This window comes from Homo sapiens, chromosome 15 (assembly GCF_000001405.40).
Source record: "Homo sapiens chromosome 15, GRCh38.p14 Primary Assembly".
Lineage (NCBI taxonomy): Eukaryota > Metazoa > Chordata > Mammalia > Primates > Hominidae > Homo > Homo sapiens.
Window position 1 is genome coordinate 99,711,842 of NC_000015.10, and position 22,225 is coordinate 99,734,066.

At 46.8% G+C, this 22,225-nt stretch overlaps 2 protein-coding genes across 98 annotated transcripts in view, besides 7 other annotated features; one reads left to right on the top strand and one right to left on the bottom strand.

Annotated features, from left to right (window-relative positions):
* MEF2A (myocyte enhancer factor 2A) overlaps positions 1–4,647 on the top strand; it is a 151,072-nt gene extending 146,425 nt beyond the window's left edge. For all 78 annotated transcript variants that reach the window (NM_001400049.1, NM_001400057.1, NM_001400064.1 and 75 more), the window contains one exon: positions 549–4,647. In NM_001400049.1, the coding sequence (NP_001386978.1) occupies positions 549–930 (382 nt within the window). In that variant the 3' untranslated portion in view covers positions 931–4,647. The remainder of the gene's footprint in view (positions 1–548) is intronic.
* On the bottom strand, positions 3,856–21,603 carry LYSMD4 (LysM domain containing 4). Of its 20 annotated transcripts, NM_152449.4 has the most exons (6): positions 21,504–21,596; positions 21,088–21,187; positions 19,877–20,166; positions 19,517–19,581; positions 19,332–19,357; positions 15,564–17,890 (listed from the first exon to the last, which is right to left on the bottom strand). In NM_152449.4, the coding sequence occupies exons 3-6, from the start codon at positions 20,068–20,070 to the stop codon at positions 17,282–17,284; spliced, it is 894 nt and encodes a 297-aa protein (NP_689662.2). In that variant the 5' UTR covers positions 20,071–20,166; positions 21,088–21,187; positions 21,504–21,596; the 3' UTR covers positions 15,564–17,281. The 20 variants fall into 20 exon arrangements, 17 of the variants coding, with proteins under 17 accessions (XP_011519547.1, XP_011519544.1, XP_047288123.1 ...); NM_001284419.2 differs by lacking the exon at positions 21,088–21,187 and having other exon boundaries at positions 19,517–19,566; NM_001284422.2 differs by lacking the exon at positions 19,517–19,581.
* Positions 5,968–6,077: a silencer, noted in NCBI's record as "silent region_6872". NCBI's record gives its function as "represses an Ori minimal core promoter by ATAC-STARR-seq in GM12878 lymphoblastoid cells {active_cell/tissue: GM12878}" and the evidence as "EXISTENCE:reporter gene assay evidence [ECO:0000049][PMID:35858748]".
* Positions 7,689–7,738: an enhancer, noted in NCBI's record as "active region_10162". NCBI's record gives its function as "activates an Ori minimal core promoter by ATAC-STARR-seq in GM12878 lymphoblastoid cells {active_cell/tissue: GM12878}" and the evidence as "EXISTENCE:reporter gene assay evidence [ECO:0000049][PMID:35858748]".
* Positions 7,759–7,808: an enhancer, noted in NCBI's record as "active region_10163". NCBI's record gives its function as "activates an Ori minimal core promoter by ATAC-STARR-seq in GM12878 lymphoblastoid cells {active_cell/tissue: GM12878}" and the evidence as "EXISTENCE:reporter gene assay evidence [ECO:0000049][PMID:35858748]".
* Positions 14,088–14,588: an enhancer, noted in NCBI's record as "H3K4me1 hESC enhancer chr15:100266134-100266634 (GRCh37/hg19 assembly coordinates)". NCBI's record gives its function as "activates a minimal SCP1, AML or CMV promoter by ChIP-STARR-seq in naive and primed H9 embryonic stem cells {active_cell/tissue: H9 hESC(naive and primed)}" and the evidence as "EXISTENCE:reporter gene assay evidence [ECO:0000049][PMID:30033119]".
* Positions 14,589–15,089: an enhancer, noted in NCBI's record as "H3K4me1 hESC enhancer chr15:100266635-100267135 (GRCh37/hg19 assembly coordinates)". NCBI's record gives its function as "activates a minimal SCP1, AML or CMV promoter by ChIP-STARR-seq in primed H9 embryonic stem cells {active_cell/tissue: H9 hESC(primed)}" and the evidence as "EXISTENCE:reporter gene assay evidence [ECO:0000049][PMID:30033119]".
* Positions 21,046–21,155: a silencer, noted in NCBI's record as "silent region_6873". NCBI's record gives its function as "represses an Ori minimal core promoter by ATAC-STARR-seq in GM12878 lymphoblastoid cells {active_cell/tissue: GM12878}" and the evidence as "EXISTENCE:reporter gene assay evidence [ECO:0000049][PMID:35858748]".
* Positions 21,196–21,925: a silencer, noted in NCBI's record as "silent region_6874". NCBI's record gives its function as "represses an Ori minimal core promoter by ATAC-STARR-seq in GM12878 lymphoblastoid cells {active_cell/tissue: GM12878}" and the evidence as "EXISTENCE:reporter gene assay evidence [ECO:0000049][PMID:35858748]".

A 22,225-nucleotide genomic window follows, 5' to 3' on the forward strand; every position in this document is an offset into this window, starting at 1 on the left:
GGAAAAGCAAGTGGAAAGGGCTCAGAGCCCAGGCCCGGGGAACAGCCTGTTTGCGTCCTCCTCTACTGCTCTCAGCCAGCCCCTCATTTCCTCATCTGGAAAATGGGGATGGTGCGACTTGCACCTTAGAGGTGTTGCGAGGATGAGCGATGTTGTGCCCTGTCACAGGGCCAGAGCAGATGGGGAGCAGATGCTGAGGAAGAAGAGGCGGTGAGCAGATGAGGCTGCTGTTCCTCTGTCTTTCTGGTCCCTGCACAGCATTAAGACACTGACATTGTTTTGTATACTTTAGCTGCAAAAGTACCAACGTTGTGGGTAACAGAACCAAGTAACGTAAGGGCTCAACGGTACTGTTTTCTTTCCTCCTAGGAAGATGGGATTTCCTTTTGTGCCAAGCACTGAAGGAAACGACCCAAACCAGTCTTGGGGAACTCTGATAAGATTTCAGACTCTGGGCCCTTTTCCATCAGGCAGTGTCTCTACTGTATCATCCCAGTTTTGCAGAGGTACTTGCAAGCCATCTGACCTCTCTCTTTTTTTTCCTTCAGTGCTGGAGGGCAGTTATCTCAGGGTTCCAATTTATCCATTAATACCAACCAAAACATCAGCATCAAGTCCGAACCGATTTCACCTCCTCGGGATCGTATGACCCCATCGGGCTTCCAGCAGCAGCAGCAGCAGCAGCAGCAGCAGCAGCCGCCGCCACCACCGCAGCCCCAGCCACAACCCCCGCAGCCCCAGCCCCGACAGGAAATGGGGCGCTCCCCTGTGGACAGTCTGAGCAGCTCTAGTAGCTCCTATGATGGCAGTGATCGGGAGGATCCACGGGGCGACTTCCATTCTCCAATTGTGCTTGGCCGACCCCCAAACACTGAGGACAGAGAAAGCCCTTCTGTAAAGCGAATGAGGATGGACGCGTGGGTGACCTAAGGCTTCCAAGCTGATGTTTGTACTTTTGTGTTACTGCAGTGACCTGCCCTACATATCTAAATCGGTAAATAAGGACATGAGTTAAATATATTTATATGTACATACATATATATATCCCTTTACATATATATGTATGTGGGTGTGAGTGTGTATGTGTGGGTGTGTGTTACATACACAGAATCAGGCACTTACCTGCAAACTCCTTGTAGGTCTGCAGATGTGTGTCCCATGGCAGACAAAGCACCCTGTAGGCACAGACAAGTCTGGCACTTCCTTGGACTACTTGTTTCGTAAAGATAACCAGTTTTTGCAGAGAAACGTGTACCCATATATAATTCTCCCACACTAGCTTGCAGAAACCTAGAGGGCCCCCTACTTGTTTTATTTAACTGTGCAGTGACTGTAGTTACTTAAGAGAAAATGCTTTGTAGAACAGAGCAGTAGAAAAGCAGGAACCAAGAAAGCAATACTGTACATAAAATGTCATTTATATTTTCCAACCTGGCATGGGTGTCTGTTGCAAAGGGGTGCATGGGAAAGGGCTGTTGATATTAAAAACAAACAAAACAAAAAAGCCCCACACATAACTGTTTTGCACGTGCAAAAATGTATTGGGTCAAGAAGTGATCTTTAGCTAATAAAGAAAGAGAATAGAAAACACGCATGAGATATTCAGAAAATACTAGCCTAGAAATATAGAGCATTAACAAAGTAAAATTAATATATTAAGTTATAATTGGAATATGTCAGAAGTTTCTTTTTACATTCATATCTTAAAAATTAAAGAAACTGATTTTAGCTCATGTATATTTTATATGAAAGAAAACACCCTTATGAATTGATGACTATATATAAAATTATATTCACTACTTTTGAACACATTCTGCTATGAATTATTTATATAAGCCAAAGCTATATGTTGTAACTTTTTTTTAGAGAATAGCTTTATCTTGGTTTAACTCTTTAGTTTTATTTTAAGAGGGGAAAACAAAAATATCTTGCAAGCAGAACCTTGGAAAAAAAAAGCCATGAACACTTATTCTAAATGTAAATTAAAAGTTGAGCCAAACTCTTTGTGTATATAGCATCTTAAATATATTATCACCTTTGATGTAAGTACCTATGTATTGTATGGTCACCAGATTAAAAAGTATATTTTTGTGGATTGCCGCCAATCTGGGGGGAAAAGGCGAGGTCCTTTATTAAGTATTCACTGTTTAATATTTACTATTTTGTTAAATATACTGTACTTTGGATTTTAATTATTAGCCCAGTTTTTTCAGAGGATTGTATAAAGGGGTTTCTCCCCTCACTGGTGGTGAATGTGTGATGTTACATTGTAATCTTTGTGCTGTATGGGTTGAGCATCATTATATATTTTGTATGTGTACATAAATAGCAAAGTGGCAAAAAAAATTGGTGTTAAGTTCATCCTGCATAAGTATAAAATGTGTTGTAACAGATTTTGTAAGGCATTATTTAAAACTTGCCTTTTGTGAGGAAAAAATGTAGTAGAAAAAGCTGACCTAATTTAATTAATATTAGAGAAAATGGCAAAATAGTAGATGAGCACAAAGGTTTTATAAGTGGTAAATGATTAGGGGAAAATAATCATGGGGAAAGGGATCTTTTTTCCTTGACCCTCTGAAAACAGAACGATGCAGCTGGTTACAAAATCCTACCGTTATCAGCTCTTCTGCACATTGCAGTGATGCTTTGGTATGCGGGGAGAAACACTCTTAGGGTGCTGGTCCTTGGCATGACTCTTGCCATTCTAATTGGAATTAGTGCCACCCTCAGCTTGGATTTTGAACAAGGCCTTATTCTTTCAGGAAGACAACTAATGGATGATAGCAAGTTCATCCACTTACTGGGCTTGTGCCATGAGCAAAATTCAAAGTCCTGTATATCTTTCATTGTAGATTTTTAAATACTCCTTTTCCTAAAAAACTCAAGGGTTTAAAAATTGCTATTTTATATTTTAAATGATATTGAGCAGCTACCTACAATTTCTATGTACATTTTGTTCCCCCCCCCCCACCCCCCCCCCAAATTACGTTCCTTTTGACATTTTCCTCATCTGCTGTTTGTGACAAGTCATCAGCCAGATTTCCTGACTGACACATAGGTATGATCAGTGCAGGAGAGACCTGCGCACCACAGGCTGCAAACTGGAGGTTCTGTTCTCATGGCAGTTTGGGCAGTAACTTTTGAGAGAGGCCAAAAAAAGGAGGATGACATGCTGTCTCCTCTCTTCAGTATAGACATTAGGCTCTTATTCAGAAAGGATTTTTCTTTAAAAATGTACTTACTTTACTGAACTACTTACAGGCACATTTCTTCATAAGGCCACACCTAATCCAAACAAGACAGTCTCCCAACACTGAAGTTCCAAAATAATCCTTACCACTTTGTAAACCATTTATAGCTTTGAAAGTGTTAAGTGATTCCTTCGTTATTATTTATGCATGTTCATGAACTTCTGCTGTACATTGGAATAGGAGTTAACACATTCACATTTACTGTCTATTTTCTTGTGTGCCTTATGAGATGGCTTTTCTGACTGTATCTCAATAGTCTTTCTTTCTATGCAGGTTTATAATCAGTACAACTACTGTTTTCTAAAATACTACTACTCAAGGCTCGGAGTTTGTATTTAAATTACACTGACCAAGTAACAATGTATTCCATTTCAGGAACTGAATATTTGACTGTTAACCTTTTTCCCATACGTCCAGTGTGGCATGGAGCATATGGACTTGACAGACATCTCTCACCCAGACGCCCACGTGTGAACACACCCACATCCACATCTCTGGGTGGAAACCAGCCTAGAGAGGGGACGACGCTAATGGTGTTGCTTTAGAACCGTCTTTTCTTACCCTTTTAGACTCGTGTTTTGTATGAGACACCATTGCAAGAAAATTTTATCCCTCCAGAAGTATTTTATTACTAAAGAACAAAAGCAAAAAAAGCTTAAATTGCACTGGTTAAAGTACAGTTTCCAACAGCTGTCCTTCCTCAGTACTCTAATGGCCACTCCACCGCGAGTGGAAGTCACTGTTGTGTGTACACAGGTGGTCCCAATCAAAACTCCATCTTTTGAGCCCAATTATGTCCATTTTGTTATAGACTAAATCAGGGGTTTGTTCTACAAGAACAATACATGTTTTACCCTTTCCTTTAACTAGAAGGATAACTAGTAATGCATCAACATAATTTCTGTATTAACCATCATGCGCACAAGAAATACATAGTAAATAAGGAAGCTGAAAACTCCTGGCATTGGATCTTAAGCTAGATGATTAGAATGTGAAAAAGATTTTACAAATGTAAAACTTCTATTTCTCTGTAGAAACTTTCTTCACTTTGCTGTGCAAGAAGACACTGCTTTGCTATATTTAAAATGGCTTTTTTAAAAGAGATTTATGTATTTGGTAAATGTTTGTAGTCAACAGTTCACACAAGAAGCTGTACACGGTTTGATCATGTAAAACCGTTTGGCGGCACAAGCTGGACTTTGTTGCCATCCTTGAGATGAACCTTTTAAGAAAAATAAGTTAATCTCAATTTTTCCCTGAATGTGTTGTTTTTCTTCATTATACAATAAATATAATAGTGAACTTTTTATCAAATGGTGAAGACAATGCTAAAGGTTGTTGTAAACTGTTTGTCTCCCGCACTCACTCCAGTAAAGACGGACTGGCTCTTCCTGTGCGTCGAGACTCTGTCATGTTTGCCTGGGGACACAAGGCGCTGGCTTTGCCACCAGGCAGCCCCTTCCCCTAAAGCCCTCTCCTTTTTCATTCCTTTCACGAAGACCTTTTTCACCTGCAGGCTTCTTTCTCTGGGTTGAGACAGGGTCAAGGAAACCGTCCCAACGCCCCCACTGGCCTCCCCCTTGTCGGCTCCCGGGTCATCCCTGCTGGGCAGCCCTGGAGCCCATAGGAAGCAGTGGGCCACGCAGTCCCACCGGGGCCTAATCTGGCTGTTGCATGCACAGTGCTGTGGATGAGTGGAATCCATTCGGCCTCCAGTAACTGCTTCTCACAGGAAATACGCCAAAGCCTGTTAGAGGGGGTGGGTATGTTAGCTATCATTAGATTCTGGGTCTCTTTAAAGTCTAGGGTGTGAAATGATTAGTTTTGCCCAAAATACATACATGATGCTGAGCTAGATGCAGCAGAAGACAGATGTGCTGGCATGAATTGAGTTTTCAGAGTGTTAGGTGTACGTCCCAGTATGCTGGCAGGCACTTAATGGTCATCTCCCTTTGTCATAATTCAGCTAGAAAATGAAAAATCTTCAACTTTCAGTAGAAGATGTTCTCTCCTGATGTGCCTTCTAAGCCAGCTCCTAGCTAAGCAGATTCCTGGTGTTAAACTGAAAACTAAATTTTTGCGCTGGCTACGGTGGGGCTCTTATTAGCAGGTTTTGAAAGCTGGTTGAGTCCTGTGGCTAAAAATACTCTAATCACAGCTGCAGCTACTTAAAGTCAATTCATTACATTTTCCTGCTTGGCTCCCCTGGGTGCCTTGCTCTAGGCAGTATCCTGTTTTCAGGCCGATTCTGTGGCACCAGCCAAGATGATTTTCAGTCGGAGCCCTGTGCCAGCTGATTGGCTGCAGCCTGCTCGGTCGGTCGTCCGGTGCTCACAAGCAGCCCGAGGACCACTCGGTTGTAAAACTGAGAGGAAGAGGAGTGTTTCTTCCCATCTTCCACGGGGCCAGGAGGTTTCAGACGTTCCAGGTCAAGTGGGCTTGTGTCCTCATCCCGCAGAAAGTTGCTGAGCCCCGTCTGTGAGAGGTAAGCCCTGATCCCAGCTGTTGCAGGCTTTGGGCTGAGGACGAGCTCTTCCCAGGCAGCCCCAGCCCCAAATGCACATAGCTGGGGTGTAAAGCTTTGGTGCTCCTCATTTCATCAGTCTTGCTTCCCAGAGGACCCAGATTGACAGGGCATCTTACTCGGCTTAGACGCCAGGGCCTACACTCCAGTCACTTTCTTACAGATGCATGATGGGCCTGCTTTCTAGCTAACCAAAGCAAACGCAGCTGTGGAAGAAAGAAAGCAGTTGTACTGACTGGTTTCACTACACAGTCCCCCCTTTTTTTACTCTTAGTGTATACACTTCATTTTGAACTCACTTTTGACTTACAGAAAAGTTGGGAAAATAATGTGGTTTCCACATATCCCTCAGCGGGCTTTCCCTAATGCTAACATTTACATAACCATAGTACAAGTACGAGAACCCAGAAATTAATATTGACACAGCATTTTTAACTAAATACCTTACTTGAATCTCCCCATTTTTTCCACTCATGCCTGTTCTAGGATCCAATCCAGGATCCCACATTCCCTTTGTCACTTGTTACAGCTTTTCTTATATAACCTTTGACACTTTTGAATACTGATCGGTTATTTTGTCTAATACCGCTCGGTGTGGATGTGTCTAATGTGATGATTGGAAGGAAGTTGTGCATTTTGGCGGGAAAACCACAGAAATGGTATGTCCCTAATGCATCATGGGGTCCATGTTGGTGTCTTATTCCAGGCGATACTGACTTTGATCACTTGGTTCAGTGGTTTTTACAGGGTTTCTTCAATGTAAAAAGTTTCTCTCCCTTTGTAATTGATACATATATTGGGGGAGATACCTTGAGACTGCAGGGTTATATTTTCACCCACTAATTGTGCAGCGTCTATAGCTGTGGTAGCTGCCTGTTTTCTTCCACATTTATTCATTGGAATTCTGCTGCGAGGAACAGCTGTCCCTTCTCATTTCGTTACTCATTATGTCATTGTGGACTCGGATTTTATTTCTCCTGTGGGCTATAATCCTGTCATTATTTTGCTCCTCCACTTGTTCCAGCTTTGGCCATGAGGAGCTTGATCAGGTGGCCTTCCATGTGAAATCTGAGTCTGTCCACACCCTTAGCATGTCCTTTCTGGCACCACAGGTGCTCCACACTCATCTTGTGGTGTTGGGTCAACCACTTTTTCCACTATTCCTGGTTCCCTTTATTGGAGAATGGTATTTGGAAACCAGATCTGGGCAATAGATGTGCTTATTGTTACCAGGGTATCACCTCTTTCGGACTCTTTCTGCAGACACAACAAGGAAATACATGTAGTTATGCGCACACACACACACACACACACACACACACACATCCATCCATATTCCTAATTACCTAAACATGTCAAAAGCCATGGTTTACGCGAATGCTTTGGATTCATTTGTAACTTCTTTCTCCTGTGGTGGGGAACCCAGCTCTTATTATCTACAGTCCTTTTACTTATTGTTCAGTTCCAGTGTACACTTATTTTCAGAACTGCCCATACCCGTGTAGGGAACACACATTGACTGACTAGATGAGAGCATTTATGTGGTTTTGTGGTTTTTGCCTTTGGCCTTACACTATCCAGTCAAGACAGTGGTTTCCAGTTACTTGTAGTTCCCAGTCCCTTCAGTGTGGTTATCTTACTATTTGTAACATGGTTAGCTTCATCTGTTCGTGTTTTATTTCACTTTCGGCACCCTCCCCATCCTAGTTGGTTTTAATGATTTATTTTGAGGGGTGTATGAATAGTATCTGAAACATTACTGTGTTTCTAAGCTATACAAAAAGATGCTCAGAAAAGCATTCTCTCTTCACCCCTGCTAGCCTCTTCCTATCCCCGCCTCTCTCACCCGCCCCTAGAGACAACTAGTCTCTTTAGTTTCTGGTTTAAGCCTTCCTGTACTTGCACAAATAGGCAGCTTTGCTTTTTCCACTTAATAGTCTAGCTGGAAATCACTCCATAGAGTGATTAGTTCATAGACGTTTTCATCCATGGTGTGGATGTACCATGGTGCTAGGCATTTAGGCTGTTCCCAATATTCTGCAGTCGTCAATGAATAGCCCTACACATGCGTATATTTGTATTTTTAAAGATGTATCTTCAGGGTAGATTCCTAGAAGTGGGATTGCTGAGGGAGTTCACCTGTAGTTTTGCAAGGTATCGCCAAATTTGCCTCCAGAGATGTATCAATTTGCATTTCCTCCAGCGGTGTAGGAGGACATCCTTGCCAACAGAGTGCAGTCCTATTTTTTATTTTTACCAGTCTGAGAAGTGTATCTCAATGTTGTAATTTGCCTTTCTCTATTATGAGTGAGATTGAGCATTTTTTTCATATGTTTGAGAACATTTTAATATCTTTCAAGTGTGTGAATTTCTGTTCTTTTTCTCATTTTTCTATTAGATTTTTTATTTTCATCCTCCAACTTGTAAGGGTTACTTTTATATTAGGGATATTGACCCTTTGGTGTGTGTGCTATGAATAACTTTTTTGTGGTACTTTAGTCACGCAAAATTTTATTTTTATGGAGTCAAATTTATCAATCTCATTGCTTAAAGATTTTGAGTTACATTTGGAAATATTTTCCGTACACCAAGGTTAGAGAGGAAGTCACCCACGTACTCTTGTTCTAGTATGGTTTCATCTTTTACTTTTAGATTGCTGATGCATTTGGAGTTTGTTCTTGTATGTGGATCTAATTTTATGTGTTTACCAAAGGCTCTCTATGGCCAGGTGTGGTGGCTCACATCCATAATCCCAGCACTTTGGGAGGCTGAGGTGGGAGGATCACTTGAGCCCAGGAATTCGAGACCAGCCGGGCAGCACAGCAAGACCTCCTCTCTACAAAAAGAAAAATACACAAGTTTCAAGGCTCTCAACTTGTCCCAGTACCATTTATTAGAAAGATCATCTTTACTTCACTGAGTAAAGGGGCTAATTCTGGACTGTTTTCATTCCTCATGACCGTAAATTGTAAATGGCTCTCAACACTGCCCAGAGATGCAGCTGCAGCTTCCTGGCATGCCGGCTTCCTCCCTTTGAGACGTAACTATTTTACTGCATCTCCTCTCCTTTCACACCTCCAAGACCACTTCCTTCTCTTCTCAGCTGGTTACTTCCTCTCACATTTTCCATTGAGAAAATAGATGGAATCTGATGAGACCGACCTCACCTTCTCACGTGATATCCAGGAATCTTCCCTCCAGGCACTGTCGAGGGACCTTGGTGCCCTTATCTAAGTCCAAGCCTTCTGTGTTGCATCCTGGGTCTCATCATCTCCTTCTCAAGGTCTTCGCTTCTGTAACTGTCCCCTCTTTCTGGCAGCATCAATTTCTCCCTCTCTCCTAGATCTTTCCTGTCAGCACAAAAGCATGCTTTTCTATCACCCGTTTCAAAAACAAACCAAAATAGAACAAAACTACCACTGCCCCCTTTGTCTAAGACACTAAGGTTCATGTGAAGATCATGAGATCCCCTCTGGTTTACCTCGGGGTGCTAGACATATTTGATTCTTTTCTATATGTGATACAACCTGAAAAAGATGGGGAAGCATTGACCTGCAGGGGTATCAAGGATGAAGACAGGTGCTAAAGTCATCAGTGGAGGAAAGGAAGCGACCAGAAGATCTGTAGATGATGCAACAAGGAAATGGGGCAGGAACTGTGTTCTGACAATACGTGCTTCAAAGAAGCAGGAGGATTTAGGGAGGAGGGAGGAGCACTGATCTCAAAGTGCCCATAAGGAGCCAGGGTGACACTGCCACTGCCTGGATGACTGGTACATGGGCTATCCTTCCTTTCTAACTACTCAGCTGAGCTAAGACTCTCAGAAACAGGGAGCCTGGCACTTGACAGGGGGAATGCAGTCATGTTGATTGAACTAAGTCAACAACACACCTCCAGAGCAGCTGTTTCACAGTGCATGGAATTTAGTGGACTCCTTCCTAAGCCTTTCTAAGAAAAATCTGCCCCTTTTGGCTTCCTGTCCCATGATCCAGTCCAGGCTCACAAATCAGAGTCCACTGACAGGCCTGCTCCCCTGGCCCTGCCTCAGAACCAGTCTTGCCCCGTCATGCCACCATTTTGGCTGCCCCTCCCCTGACCCTGGCCTATGATATTCTGTTTCTGGCCATATTAGAATAACAGCAACCAGGTGTATTCTTTCACTTTAAAGAATCCAAGAAAATATGAGGCCTTGGACAACGGGCAGTGCAGGACAGTGATCTCTGAGAGACCAGAAATAAACCAGGTGAAACTGATGAGTGCCCCAGCTCACCGCCTGCAGGGTTTGCAAACCATAGGACAGAGCCAGGTGGTCTTGCCAAGTAGAGGAGATGGAGTTTGGAGTTCAGGGAGTCTGAGGCATCTAGAATTTGTGGGGGCACAGTACTGGGGAGGGGGAAGCTGGACAGAGATTCCCCCAAGTCTTTGGCTGGGTACTGGCCTGTACATGCATGTGAGAAAACCGCAGAGTCAAGGAAAAGAGCCAACAGAAAAAAGTAGGCGGGACAATTCCCAGAGCTTACCCAGGGCCAGGAATCATCTGTGTTCCCACCAGATAGATTATGAGGTGATTATTACCTAGTTTATTAATGCTGTGTGTGTTCGGTGGTGAGACCTCCTAAAGCACACAGCATTCGGAGAATCTTAAAAAGGCATCACCACAGGAGCAGGACTGAAAAAATCCTCAGAAGGCCTTGCCCCGGGAGCAGGGCCGAATGAGTGCTCACTACATGCTGCTCTACACCTGCCCTAACATAGCAGAAGAGTGAGCCTCAGAAGGACTGAACTCATTCCAAGTAACCATGCCCCAGGACAAAGCACAAACTATTTAAAGGAAGACAACAAAATCCAGCATCCAACAACATAAAATTCACCATGTCTAGCATCCAACAAAAAATTACCACACATGTAGAAAAACAAGAACATACAATCTATAATGGGAGGCAGATGGAGGGAGAGATCAACAAATGGACCCAGAATGACATAAATGACGGAATTAGCAGATAAGGATGTGAAACAGCTATTACAAATATCCTCCATGTGTCAGAATATACAAACACAATGATGAAATAGAAGATATTTAAAAGACTCCAACAGAACCTTTAGAGATTAAAAAGACCTGTAGTAAAAGATGCGTTGGGCCAGGCCCAACGGCTCATGCCTCTAATGCCAGCACTTTGGGAGGCTGGGGCGGGCGGATCACTTGAGGTCAGTTTGAGACCAGCCTGCGCAACATGACAAAAACCCGTCTCTATTAAAACACAGAAATCAGCCAGGCATGCTGGTGCACGCCTGTAATCCCAGCTGCTTGGAAAACTGAGGCAGGAGATTCGCTTGAGCCTGGGAGGCGGAGGTTGCAATGAGCCAAGATCACGCCAGTACACTCCAGCCTGGGTGACAGAGCAAGACTCTGTTTTGTTTTGTTTTTTTTTTAAAAAAAGGACGCACTGAATGGAATTACTATAGATTAGACAGATACTACAGAGGAAAACAGCAATAGAAACTATCCAAAATAAAACAGGAGACAATAAAAAAATGAATAAAATATAAATGAGCTATATAATTGGAGGGAAATAATGAGGAAAAAGTTTTCAAAGAAACAATGGCTAAAATTTGTCCAAATTAGATGAAACTATACAAACCCACAGATCCAAGAAACAATGAGCCCCAAACAGAAATATGAAGAAAGCCACACCGAGGCCCCTCAGAATCACACAGCCAGTTCTGCACCGCCTCCTGTTCTGGGCTTTCTTAGATTCTGCATTTGTCTGTTGAGCATCCCTTCATCACAGGGCCAATTGTATTAACTCTTTCTTATTGTGGTAACTGCTTCTTATCTTCTGTATTCTTGATGCTCTGGCTTTGTGGGCCTTGCTGACTGAGGAGAGACTGCTGTTCCCAGGACTAGCCTGTTTGCCTTGCCCTGCCTTCCCTTTCCCCCAGAAACACGACGAAGCCTCTGGCCTGAGCGTGCCCCTGGCTCCCTTCTGCCTCCTGACCAACACTGGTGCATCCCTATGGCCCTGTGGGGCCTGGTGTGCTCCCTTCTCTTGGGAATTACAAGTAGTAAAGCTTCTTGCGATGACACCAGGAAGAAGCAATGTCTCCATGCTGTCATGCATCGCCTGTATCAATTAAAATCCCATGAGTAAAAATCGAGACATCTCTTAAGGTCTCCACTCCTCCAACCAAGCCTCTCCAAAACTGTGACCAGCATTCTTCACTTCAGTGCTCATCAACTCGCTATTGCTCCAAGACTTTCCGTAGCTTCCCACTGTCCATCAAATCATGTCCAGATCACTTAAATGTGGAATTCAGCGTTGCCTAGAACCTAGCCTCAAACTAGTACTGCAGCATTTTCCCACAGCTCCGTTTACATTTCCTTCACGCCAGGCCACCAGACTATTCATAGTTCCCTGTCTACATAGTCCCCCGTTTCCAGCCTCTAGGCCTTCGCTCACACTGGACAGTCCTCTTTGAAAAGAACCATCCACTGCCATATTACTAAATCCCAGCCTTCTTTCAGATGTCGACTAAGGAAATGTCATCTCCTCCAGATGTTTTATTAGCCACTTGTCATATATTTCCCTCTGTGGGCCATCGTGTGTTCTACCGTATCTCTACTCTGGCATAGGTCTTTTTTAAAAATTATCATTATTTCTCCTGAGACAGGGTTTGGCTCCGATGCCCAGGCTGGAGTGCAGCAACACAATCTCAGCTCACTGTAACCTCCACCTCCCAGGCTCAAGCCATTCTCCCACCTCAGCCTCCCAAGTAGCCGGGACTACAGGCGCATGCTACTGTGCCTGGCTAATTTTTGTAATTTTTCATTACAGATGGGGTTTCACCATGTTCAGCCTAGGCTGGTCTCGAACTCCTGGGCTCAAGCAATCTGCCCACCTCAGCCTTCCAAAGTGCTGGGATTACAGGCGTGAGCCACTGCGCCCAGCCCTGGCATAGGTCATATCCCATTAGGTTATAAGCACCTTGAGGACAGGGGCCATGTCATGTTATCCCATCACCTCTTGGTATATAATTGGTGTTCTGGCAGGTTATGGATGAATAGATGGAAAGTAGCCCATGTTCCTTATTCAGGATAGTGAAATGGTGATGTACAACAACCCAGTGTTTTCCAAAGGTGTGAGAAAGTCTCCCCCAGGTGTGGTAAGGACTCCCTGCCTCCTCACTGGCACTGTGGTGGCAGTCTCTGTGCAAGTTTTGAGCAGGCATGGGAAGGGGTACAGGTCACAGGTTGGAGCTGCACTTCATCACCACACTGGTCCTTCCAGGGGCAGTGGGGTGTGACTGGCGGTGCAGGAGCAAGGAGGCTGCCCTTCCTCACAGCAGCTCCACTGCACCAGACTTGGAGAACAGGCAAGTTGGATGCTATCCACACTCTCCGAGCCCTGTTCCCCCGCCTGGCCTGAGACCAGCCATAACCTGTCTCTGGAAATAAGCTTGGAAGACCTGTCCCAAGGCCTTAAGTGCCGGGAAGGAAGCAGGTAAGGGAGGCTCCTTTCCTGACGGTCTCTGTTACTCAAAGGCAAGGTGTTGGGAAGAAAGCTGAGGCAGTGCTTGCATGTGCGACATAATGTCCTCTAGAATGTGTCTAGACTTCCTGGCTCCTTACTTCTAGCCCTCCTAGGCTCCTAGATCAATTGTATTTCCATTATCTCAAGTAGCAGAACATGTTCCTTGTAAATGCTAAACCATAACAGCTATAGATCATGTGTCTGCCCTTTTGACCTCCACATTCTCACCACCTGTTTCTTTGTTGGATTACCAATAAATAGCATGGGTTCCCAAAGCTCGGAGCCTTTGCGGCCTCCACGATCGCGATGGCCCCCTAGTCCCACTTTACTTCTCAAACTGTCTTTTTCTCAATCCTTTGACTCTGCTGGACTTCGTGGCCCCCACAACCTGGTGTTGGGTCTGATCACCCCAACACAAGGGGCCTGGTTCACTGGCTCAGAGGCTAAATCCAGTTGATTCTCCACCAAGAAAATGGGCAGGTAAATGCTGATTCTACAGTTACTGCGATTCAGGCAATGGATCTAACTTTTCTTATTGTGAGGCCAGTACCCCAAGTGGGCCAGTAGAAATTTTCTCTGCTGTCCCCTCCTGAAGTCCTGCCTTGGGAGACCTTAAGCATCCCCCATGTTCTGTGAGCCTGGATCATGCCACAGGTGCCCTACCCCAAGCCCACAGTGGACTGTCAAGCAGGTGGCAGAGCAGAAACGGATTAAGAGCACAGGCTCCCAAACACCCCCATTTACCAGCTGTGTGGTCGTAAGCAGCTTGCTTTTTCCATCTGTAAACTGGGGATAGAAGTGCCTGCGTCGTAGGGAGGTAGTGAGGGTAAAGTGGGTGAGCATATAAAGCTCTTAGAGCACTGTGGCATCCAGGAAGCACCATGGCTTATATGATTGTTGTTGCTCCTGGGGCTGCAGCCCAGTCTTCCCCAAAGAGGAAATGGTCATGGCTCGTTGGGCCTTTCCCACAGCTGAGCCCAGGCTTCCGCTGTCTCAAGTGGTTTTTTTTTTTTTTTTTTTTTTCCCGCCTGAGTCTCGCTTTATCTCCCAGATCTCGGCCCGATCTCGGCTCACTGCAACCTCTGCCTCCTGGGCTCAAGCCATTCCCGTGCCACAGCCTCCCAAGTAACCAGGACTACAGGCCCACATCACCAGGCCCAGCTAATTTTTGTATTTTTAGTAGAGAGGGGATTCCACCATATTGGCCAGGCTGGTCTCGAACTCCTAACCTCAAGTGATCCATCCGCCTCGGCCTTCCAAAGTGCTGGGACTACAGGCATGAGCCACTGTGCCTGGCCCCAAGTGGCTTTTAATTCCATGACTTCAGGCACATCTCCTCCCACCCCTCCCCTCCACACTCCCCCTACTGCAGCGCAGAAGGCCTTGCATGGCGGGGCCTTGACTGTCCTCCCAACATGCTCCTAGGCCGGGCCACACCTTCCTCACCTCTGCTGGGCAGTGGCGGTTCTGGGTGACCCTGAGGTGTCTGCCTAGTCCCTGCAGCTTTGTCTCTCCAGAGTAAAATTAAAGCATCATTTGCTTGACAATGGAGATTCCTTGGGCTTCAACATTCAGCACTATAGTTCAACCAAAAAGACTGGAGACTAGATAGCAAACCTATTTCTCTAAAATATTCCCTCCCCAAAGACACTGAAAACATAGCAAAATGTGGAATAGGAAGTATCGTGGTTATTTCTTATATACACCTAATAAAGCAATATTAAAGCCTGTATACAGATCAATCAGTGATCAATCATCCCTAGAGCACTGGTCACCACTTTGTCCTGCACCTGTCTGAGTAACCTCGGGCACAGTACAAGCCCCAAGTTGGTGGCCAGGTGCAGGGAACAGGCACAGTCCTCACTCCTGACAGACACCTCCATCTTCTCCAGCAGCATCCCACATCTTTTAACGCTAAATTATCAATCCCCAAATTTTAAAAGGTTGAGGCAGGTGCAGTGGCTCACGTCTGTAATCCTAGCACTTAGGGAGGCTGAGGTGGGCAGATTATCTGAGGTCAGGAGTTCGAAATCAGCCTGGCCAACATGGCTAAACCCCATCTCTACTAAAAATGCAAAAATCAGCCAGGCATGGTGATGTGTGATAGCAATCCCAGCTACTCAGGAGGCTGAGGCAGGAGAATCGCTTGAACCCGGGAGGTGGAGGTTGCAGTGAGCCCAGATCGCACCACTGCACTCCAGCCTGGGGGAAGGAGTGAGACTGTCTCCAAAAAAAAATTAAATAAAAAGGGGGAATCAATTTTCCTCCACAGAAGAAATAATTTTATTCCATTTGAGAAAAGTAAAGGATACATTCTTTGTCTGACAAAAGTGATTTTGTCATGGAACTCCAAGGCCTGCCTGGTGAAGTGACAGTGACAGATGTTAGAGGAACCTGTGGCCCTCAGTGACACAGAGAGCACAGACATTTGGCTGGGAAAGCACTTGCATGATCGAAACATTTCCTATTGCAGAGATTCAGAAGTTCTTTTTATCCTGAAGATCATTCTGGTTTCTAATTTAAGATTGAAGATGATTTAATTTGCTAATGGAACCCAGGCCAGCTGTTTTTTCACACAACTGAAAGGAGAGAAATCGGAAATCACTCTTACATGGTGAGACCTTTGATACTTTTCTCCAGGCCTCATGAGTCAAAGGCCATCACTGTCCCTCCACCGAGCATCTGGGCAGTGTCTGCCTCCTGTCCAGAACTCTTGGAGGCCGGGCCAGCAGCCATCTCAGCCCCTCCCACCCCTCCATGCCACAGGGCAGCACCAACTCCCAAGTAGTAGCAGGCTCTGTCCCGCAGTCCCCAGCCCATCCACAGCACCACTGCTGCCTTGGCAGCGAGAAGGGCTGGGAAAACTGCAAGCCCCTTCCTCCCTCAGGTGTTCTGATCGCCTTTTACAACAAGGGTCGCCTCTAGCCCCTCCATCAAGTCTTTGGTCCTGGAACATTGTGAGTTACATTGCATATAGTGTTATTCTAAGGGCATCACCCAGAGAAAAAGGACGAAGCGGCCTTCTCACTCTGGAGCTCCGAAGAACTGAGCCAGGGAAGCAGCAGGGGGAGCGCCCTGTGTTAGGTGTGCACAGGGGCTGCGGCTCTCAGCACAGGCCTGACGACCGCCCAGCTTCAGACGCCAACCATAGTGAGGCCTCAGTGACAGGCACTCATCCTCCCCTCCAAACACTGGCCAGCAAGAGCTCCTTCCAAGGAGGACAAGTGGGAGAATCCAGAGAGCCACGCTGTGGGACGGCTCCTGCGGAACTGGGCGCAGCCTGTGTGTGCTTGGCCTGGGAGATGCCTGTGTGTCACACTAAGCCACTCTAAAAGGACAGGAGTAGGACTGCCCTTTATTCAACAGTGCCGCAGTTTGGGTCCAGGGCTTTTTCAACTCTAGAAATGGCATTGCCTCAAAAAGGCTAACTGAGGGGGCCAATATGAAGTAGGCTTGTTACAACTGTAACTGTCACTCTCTAAAACAGGGTGGCATGCCAAGCCTATTCCACAGCACCTTTGCCAGGCAGACAGAGAACACTCCTTCTCAGAGCCAATCCCCGCTCCACAGGAAGTGAGGATACAGCAAGAGCCAGGCAAGCCGCGCAGATGCCACTGGCTCTCACGCTGCAGGTCCCTCGACAGAGGCCATAAATCTTTCCCTCCGAGCACGTCCAACTTGGGGGTCCTCACAGTGCTGCTATGAACTGGCCAGTCCACTAAATGTCACAGGGAAATGGCTCTCTTGCTGCACCTCTCTGGATAGGGGCCGAGGTCGCTGCTGTTTTAGATCCTGCCAGCTTAGACTGGGTAAGGCCATGCCCAGGGCCAGTGCAATTGGGAATACTGCAGTGACTTCTGAAAAGTGTCCATCCTTCCCCGGAAGCAAAATGCAGCACCCCTAGGACATCGCCAGTGACAGCTGAGGCACATCAACAGCCAATTGCTAAAGCTGGGCCTAGTCTTTAAAAACAAAGCTTAGCTCCCCGCTTGGGTGGTCTGACTGAACTGGCTGTCTGCAGAAGTGACGGCTGGCACTGCAACTGCTAGTCTGGGGGCTTGCCCTGGAACTGTACCCATTGCCATCGAGCCATTGGGGATGACAGTTGTGTTCAAGCTATTAGGGGTCTCACCACTAGCTTGTATTTTAAAGTAGACCAAATAAAAGACAGGCAAGACAATACCAATCAGCAGCATGATGAAAACAGCATTCCACCACTGAATGCCACAATCTGCACCATCCATAGGCGTCTTCGGAGGTGCCGGGAGCAGTGGCTGATGGGAGGTGTCCATGCAGTAACTTTCATGTAGAAAGATTTCTGACTGCACTGCACGCTCAATATCCTGGTCAATCCCCTTAAAGAAGCCCATCAGTTGGCCGGCCTGGGCACCGGTGCCCGCGCCTGCTCTGTCTGCCTCTGGCAGTTCCACGGTCACTGTGGTCTCGGAAGACGGGCTCAGAAGGGGTTTCAGTTCTTTGTGGGTCTCCATCAGGATCCCATGGTTTCTCACTGGAATCTTAACAGATTTCAAAGCATATAAGTCTTGTTCTCTGATGAAGTTGTTGACTTTCTTGATATCTGCAACCTAGGAAGGCACGAAGATAAACATCATAAAATATGCGGAGCTCCTTAAAAATAACTTTCCAAAAAGTGGCTCTTAATCTTTCTGGGTGATGATTCAAGCCCACTTCACTGACGAATCTGATGAAGACTGGAAAACTGCAGCTGTACACAAAGTTAGTTTAGGCTGAAATTTTGTTTTTTTGGCTTTCACTCAACCTCAATATATAGTTTAGTAATCAGATATTCCTAAAGATTTACAGGTTTGAACAATTTAAGATCAGTTTTGAAAAACAGATCTTTCTTAAACTGTTTAAAGTGTGACTGCAACAAATCGCTTTGGGCGAAACCACCATGGCACTGAAAGGAATGTTGCAGCCTTTTCCACCTTTCACTTTTGAGGCAATAGTGCCCCCATCTGCCTGCCTTCCCCCTCATGCCAGAACTCAGTGGCTGCCAGATGTTAGCATTCACCAAACACACAGCCTCAGCCAGCTCTGCAGACACACTCAAAATCCAGTTTACCTGTAATAAAGTTGACAGATATGCCCTCGGCATTTTCTTTCCCAGAAACACTGTGGGGCATGTAAACTTATTAAATAAAAGTGACTTACAGTTACTGTACTTAACTGTCAGGAAAAAGGAATAATGCTGTGAGTTTTATCAAGTAACAAAGTTCATGACAAACTCCTCTCATAATCAAACACGAAGATTTAAGAAGCAGGGAGAATGTAAGTCAAAGGGTAACCCCTCCCTCAAACTAATGTTTGAAAACTTTCCAAAAGCATCAGAGATGAACTCCAAACTTTTAACACTTAAGTCCACTTAAACTAGAAAGTGAATACAGCCAACAGATCTCAATCAAATCAATCATTTCCATTATTATTCAGCAACTGCTGTTATTGTAACTGATTTGGGGTAGGGGACATTTTTAATTCACTATGTCCTGAATCTAATGCATGAGACCCTTGAGATCTTTCTGTCTCTGCCTTCAATAAATTAAGAGCAAATTTATTTACTTCAAATAGGAAAACTGATCACTTATCAAAGGCTTTATATATTCTTTACGGATTTAGACATCACCATACCAAGAAGCCTACTCCATCTATTCCGGTCTTTGTAGGACAGGCTTCATTTTTCAGCCCATGTTCTGTAAGCCACACAGTATGCCTGCAGAAGCTGCTTATCGGAGCCAAATATAATTGTCAGTACAATTTAAAGACCACTATGTGTCCCCGGAGACCAACCTGTTTATTTCCCTGAAAGACCGCAACACCCCACACAACATGTTTCAGACATTTGGACCTTGTTAGATAAGACACTTGTAGGAGAAAGAGATTTCTTAAATTAAGTAGCTTATATACCCCTAGAGAAGGCCATACAAATCTGTAGCACAGTGTTAGCAAAGTGAAACAGTTGCAATCTAGGAGAAAATGCAGCAATTCTAGAAATACTTTCCTACTTACTTTGCCATTGTTAATCACTCTGAATGCTGAAAACATAATTAGAGAAAAACAGGGTTATATAGATACACAGCATACAAAAGACCATGCAGTTCTAAACGAGAGAAGGTAAAACTTTACCAAAAGTCAAGTAAGCTACCACCAAGAAAGGTTCAGAAAAATAAGAGCAGCGAGAAAAGCAAGCATACCATAGAAATCCGGAATTAAATTCTGCCTGGTATCTCCAGCCCCATTAGGTCTAAAATAAAATGTGCTCGAAAGAAGAAAAAAGGTTTCAGAATTTCAGTGTGGAGAAAACAGGAAAAGGAGAAGTTCCCTGCAGAGAAAGAAATGCGCTAACCCTCCCTCTTTGGGGGCCAGGGTTGGGAACTAAAGGTACTCCCACCTGCATTCCAATTCTGGCTAAATAGGGGAGTCCTTGGCTGCTACAGCAGGCCTCTCCTGACGGCCTGGCAGGGTTAAGAAGGGCGGCAAGGGCACCCACCCTGCAGTGAGTTCCCCGTGTTCCTTGAAACGGAGCGGGGCAGGGCCCCTGAGGGGTGTCTTACTTTGCAGCCATACTGCAGCGCCAGCTTGTTGAGGCTGTCCTCCTGGGCCAGCTCCCGCTGCAGCAGCACCACGTCACCTGCTCCCGCCTGGGGAGGCTGGTGGACACCGCTCTTGTGGCGCTCCTTGCCCCGGGGCCGCAAAACCACACGGTGAGACTCTTCTTCAGAAGAGTCCCCCGAGTCCCCACTGCCATTCTTAAACATGTATACGTGGCTGGTCGGAGTCCCACACACAACAGCTGGGCCTTGGAAGGTCTTGGTTAACAATTCCTCGTGCCTCATTTTCTTCACTGAAAATCAAGCCGGAGGGTTAATTCCACAGAAGACATAATCATCCCTCCACCGCCTCGTTTAAAGAGAAGTGTCTTGTTAGAGAGTATTCCTTTTCCTAATCGCTGCAAATACTCAGCATACATCATCAACAGAAAAAAAAGAATGTGCTTATGCTGGCTGAGATGGAAGAAGATAGGCAGAATAAAAACCCTTTGTTTTTTCTAATCGCATACGTTTTGTGCAGAAAACGAACCCCGCCCCTGTTCCTCATCCATAGCTGTCTCCCCTAAACCCACATCTGTAAAGAAACAACTACTTTTGCTCTCAGAGTAGTAAGTTGAGATCCTTGCAATGGCAAGTAAGGGCTGCCGCCAGCCTCCGCGCACTCAGAATCTTCAACTCAGAAGCTTTGCACAATAATTTTGTATTCAATATTTTACACATTGCAAAGTATCTTCACTAAGAAGGTCAGCGCTAAGGACTCTTGCTCAGAACTGTGGGGCTAAACTGCTCTTACTTTGACACAGTTTAACTCACAGTATGTGGGGCAAGCTACGGGGAGAACTCATGCCTGTCAGCCGGAGAAAAGCGTCCAGTTTGCTCACGGGTCACTTTGCATTCATTACATCCCCATTGTCTGGTTTTTATTTTCCCCTTGAGTCAACAGCCAAAGCCGCAAGACCCCTGTTCCTCTCTCCAGATTGTTCGCGTGAGATTCCAGAAACGAAATCTCAAACACGCGGGCTGACAACTTCAGAAAAAGGTGGCTTCGGAGCCACAGGGGAGCAGCCCGTACGGGGACAGCCTGCGGCCCCAGCTCGACCCCCTACTCCCCGCCCACGCCTTCGAGGGTCACAGGCCCACACCCCGCTCCGCGCGCTCCTGAGCCTGCCCGGAGGCGGGAGGCGGCCGGCGGTCCTCGGGGGGTTGAGGGTCACCTGCAGGACCACGGCGGCAGCCCGGGGACGGGGCCAGCCTTCGCGTCCGAGCTCAGGGGCGGCGGCAGCAGCTCCAGGCCCGCTTCCCTCCAAGTCCCTTCTGCGAAAAGATGGGGCACCTCAACAAGAGCTGACAGGAAAATGGGGAGCGGCCCGGCCCCAGGGCTCCACGGCTCCACGGGCGGGGCCCTAACATTCCAGAGGGCAGAACCTCTGACCTCTGACCCCCAACCCTAGCCACCTGGGGCCAGCCCACGACAGTCGCGGTCACCGCCCCTCCAGCTGGAGCGTCCCCCTAGGAGCCCGGGGAGGGGCGGCCCGCCCGCGAACCCTCGAGCGAGGCCAGGTCGCCGTACCGCCATGAGCCCGCGCGGCTCCCTAGCCAGACCGCGGCCCCCTCGTCCAGGCCCCGGTACCTCAGCGCCCAGGCTCCGCCGCGACCGGCGACCGGCGACTCGCGACCCGCGACCCGCGACCCGCAGCTGCCACCGCGCCTGCGGATTGGCTACGAACATCAGCAGGGCCCCCCTGGGGGCGGGACTGGGGAGGCAGCCAATGAAGTCAGCGCTGGGCGGGCACTGGAGCGAGCCTGGCTGCGCGGAGAGCTCATCCCGGGACCACAGGGCCCGGGGCGGGGCTCGGGGCGGGGCTCGGGGCGGGGCTCGACAGGGTTCCACACCCCGGAAGTGGCCCTCGCCCCGCCCACCCGCCTACCAGGTCTACCCGCGCGGGCCCTGGCTTGTTTTCGCGTCTGTTCGGAGTAATAAGGCACCTCAGCTCCTCCCTCCCAAAGTGCTTGGCTTTCTGCTGAGCCGCAGCTTTCTCGCCCGTAAAGAGGCCTTTGACCCCACTTGTGGGTAATGATCTGTAGCTGTGACTCGGGGTGGATTCCAGTAGCGTGGGGTCCCCTGAGCCCTCCTGCGGGGAAGGGCTGGGCGCAGATGGGCGAGGGGTCTTTCTGCGGCGGGATCTGCGCTCCTGGGCCTTTGAGGGCCGCACCAGGGGAGGCATTGCCCCACCCCGAGAAGAAAACAGAAATCCACGAGTGTAAAACATGGATGCGGACAACAGGGACCAAGAAAACTTAAGTCGTGTTTATCAAATGTCAGGTGGCCGAGGATTTCTTAAGATGAAAAGT

Excerpts from the sequence above, each read along its gene's own strand:
- LYSMD4 (XM_017021930.3), bottom strand. The coding sequence starts at position 20,070 with ATGGCAGTGGGGACTCGGGGGACTCTTCTGAAGAAGAGTCTCACCGTG. Across the intron at positions 19,358-19,516 it reads TTTAATTCCGGATTTCTATG|CATTCAGAGTGATTAACAAT; the intron begins GTATGCTTGCTT and ends TTATGTTTTCAG. Across the intron at positions 17,891-19,331 it reads GAGTGATTAACAATGGCAAA|GTTGCAGATATCAAGAAAGT; the intron begins GTAAGTAGGAAA and ends GTGCCTTCCTAG.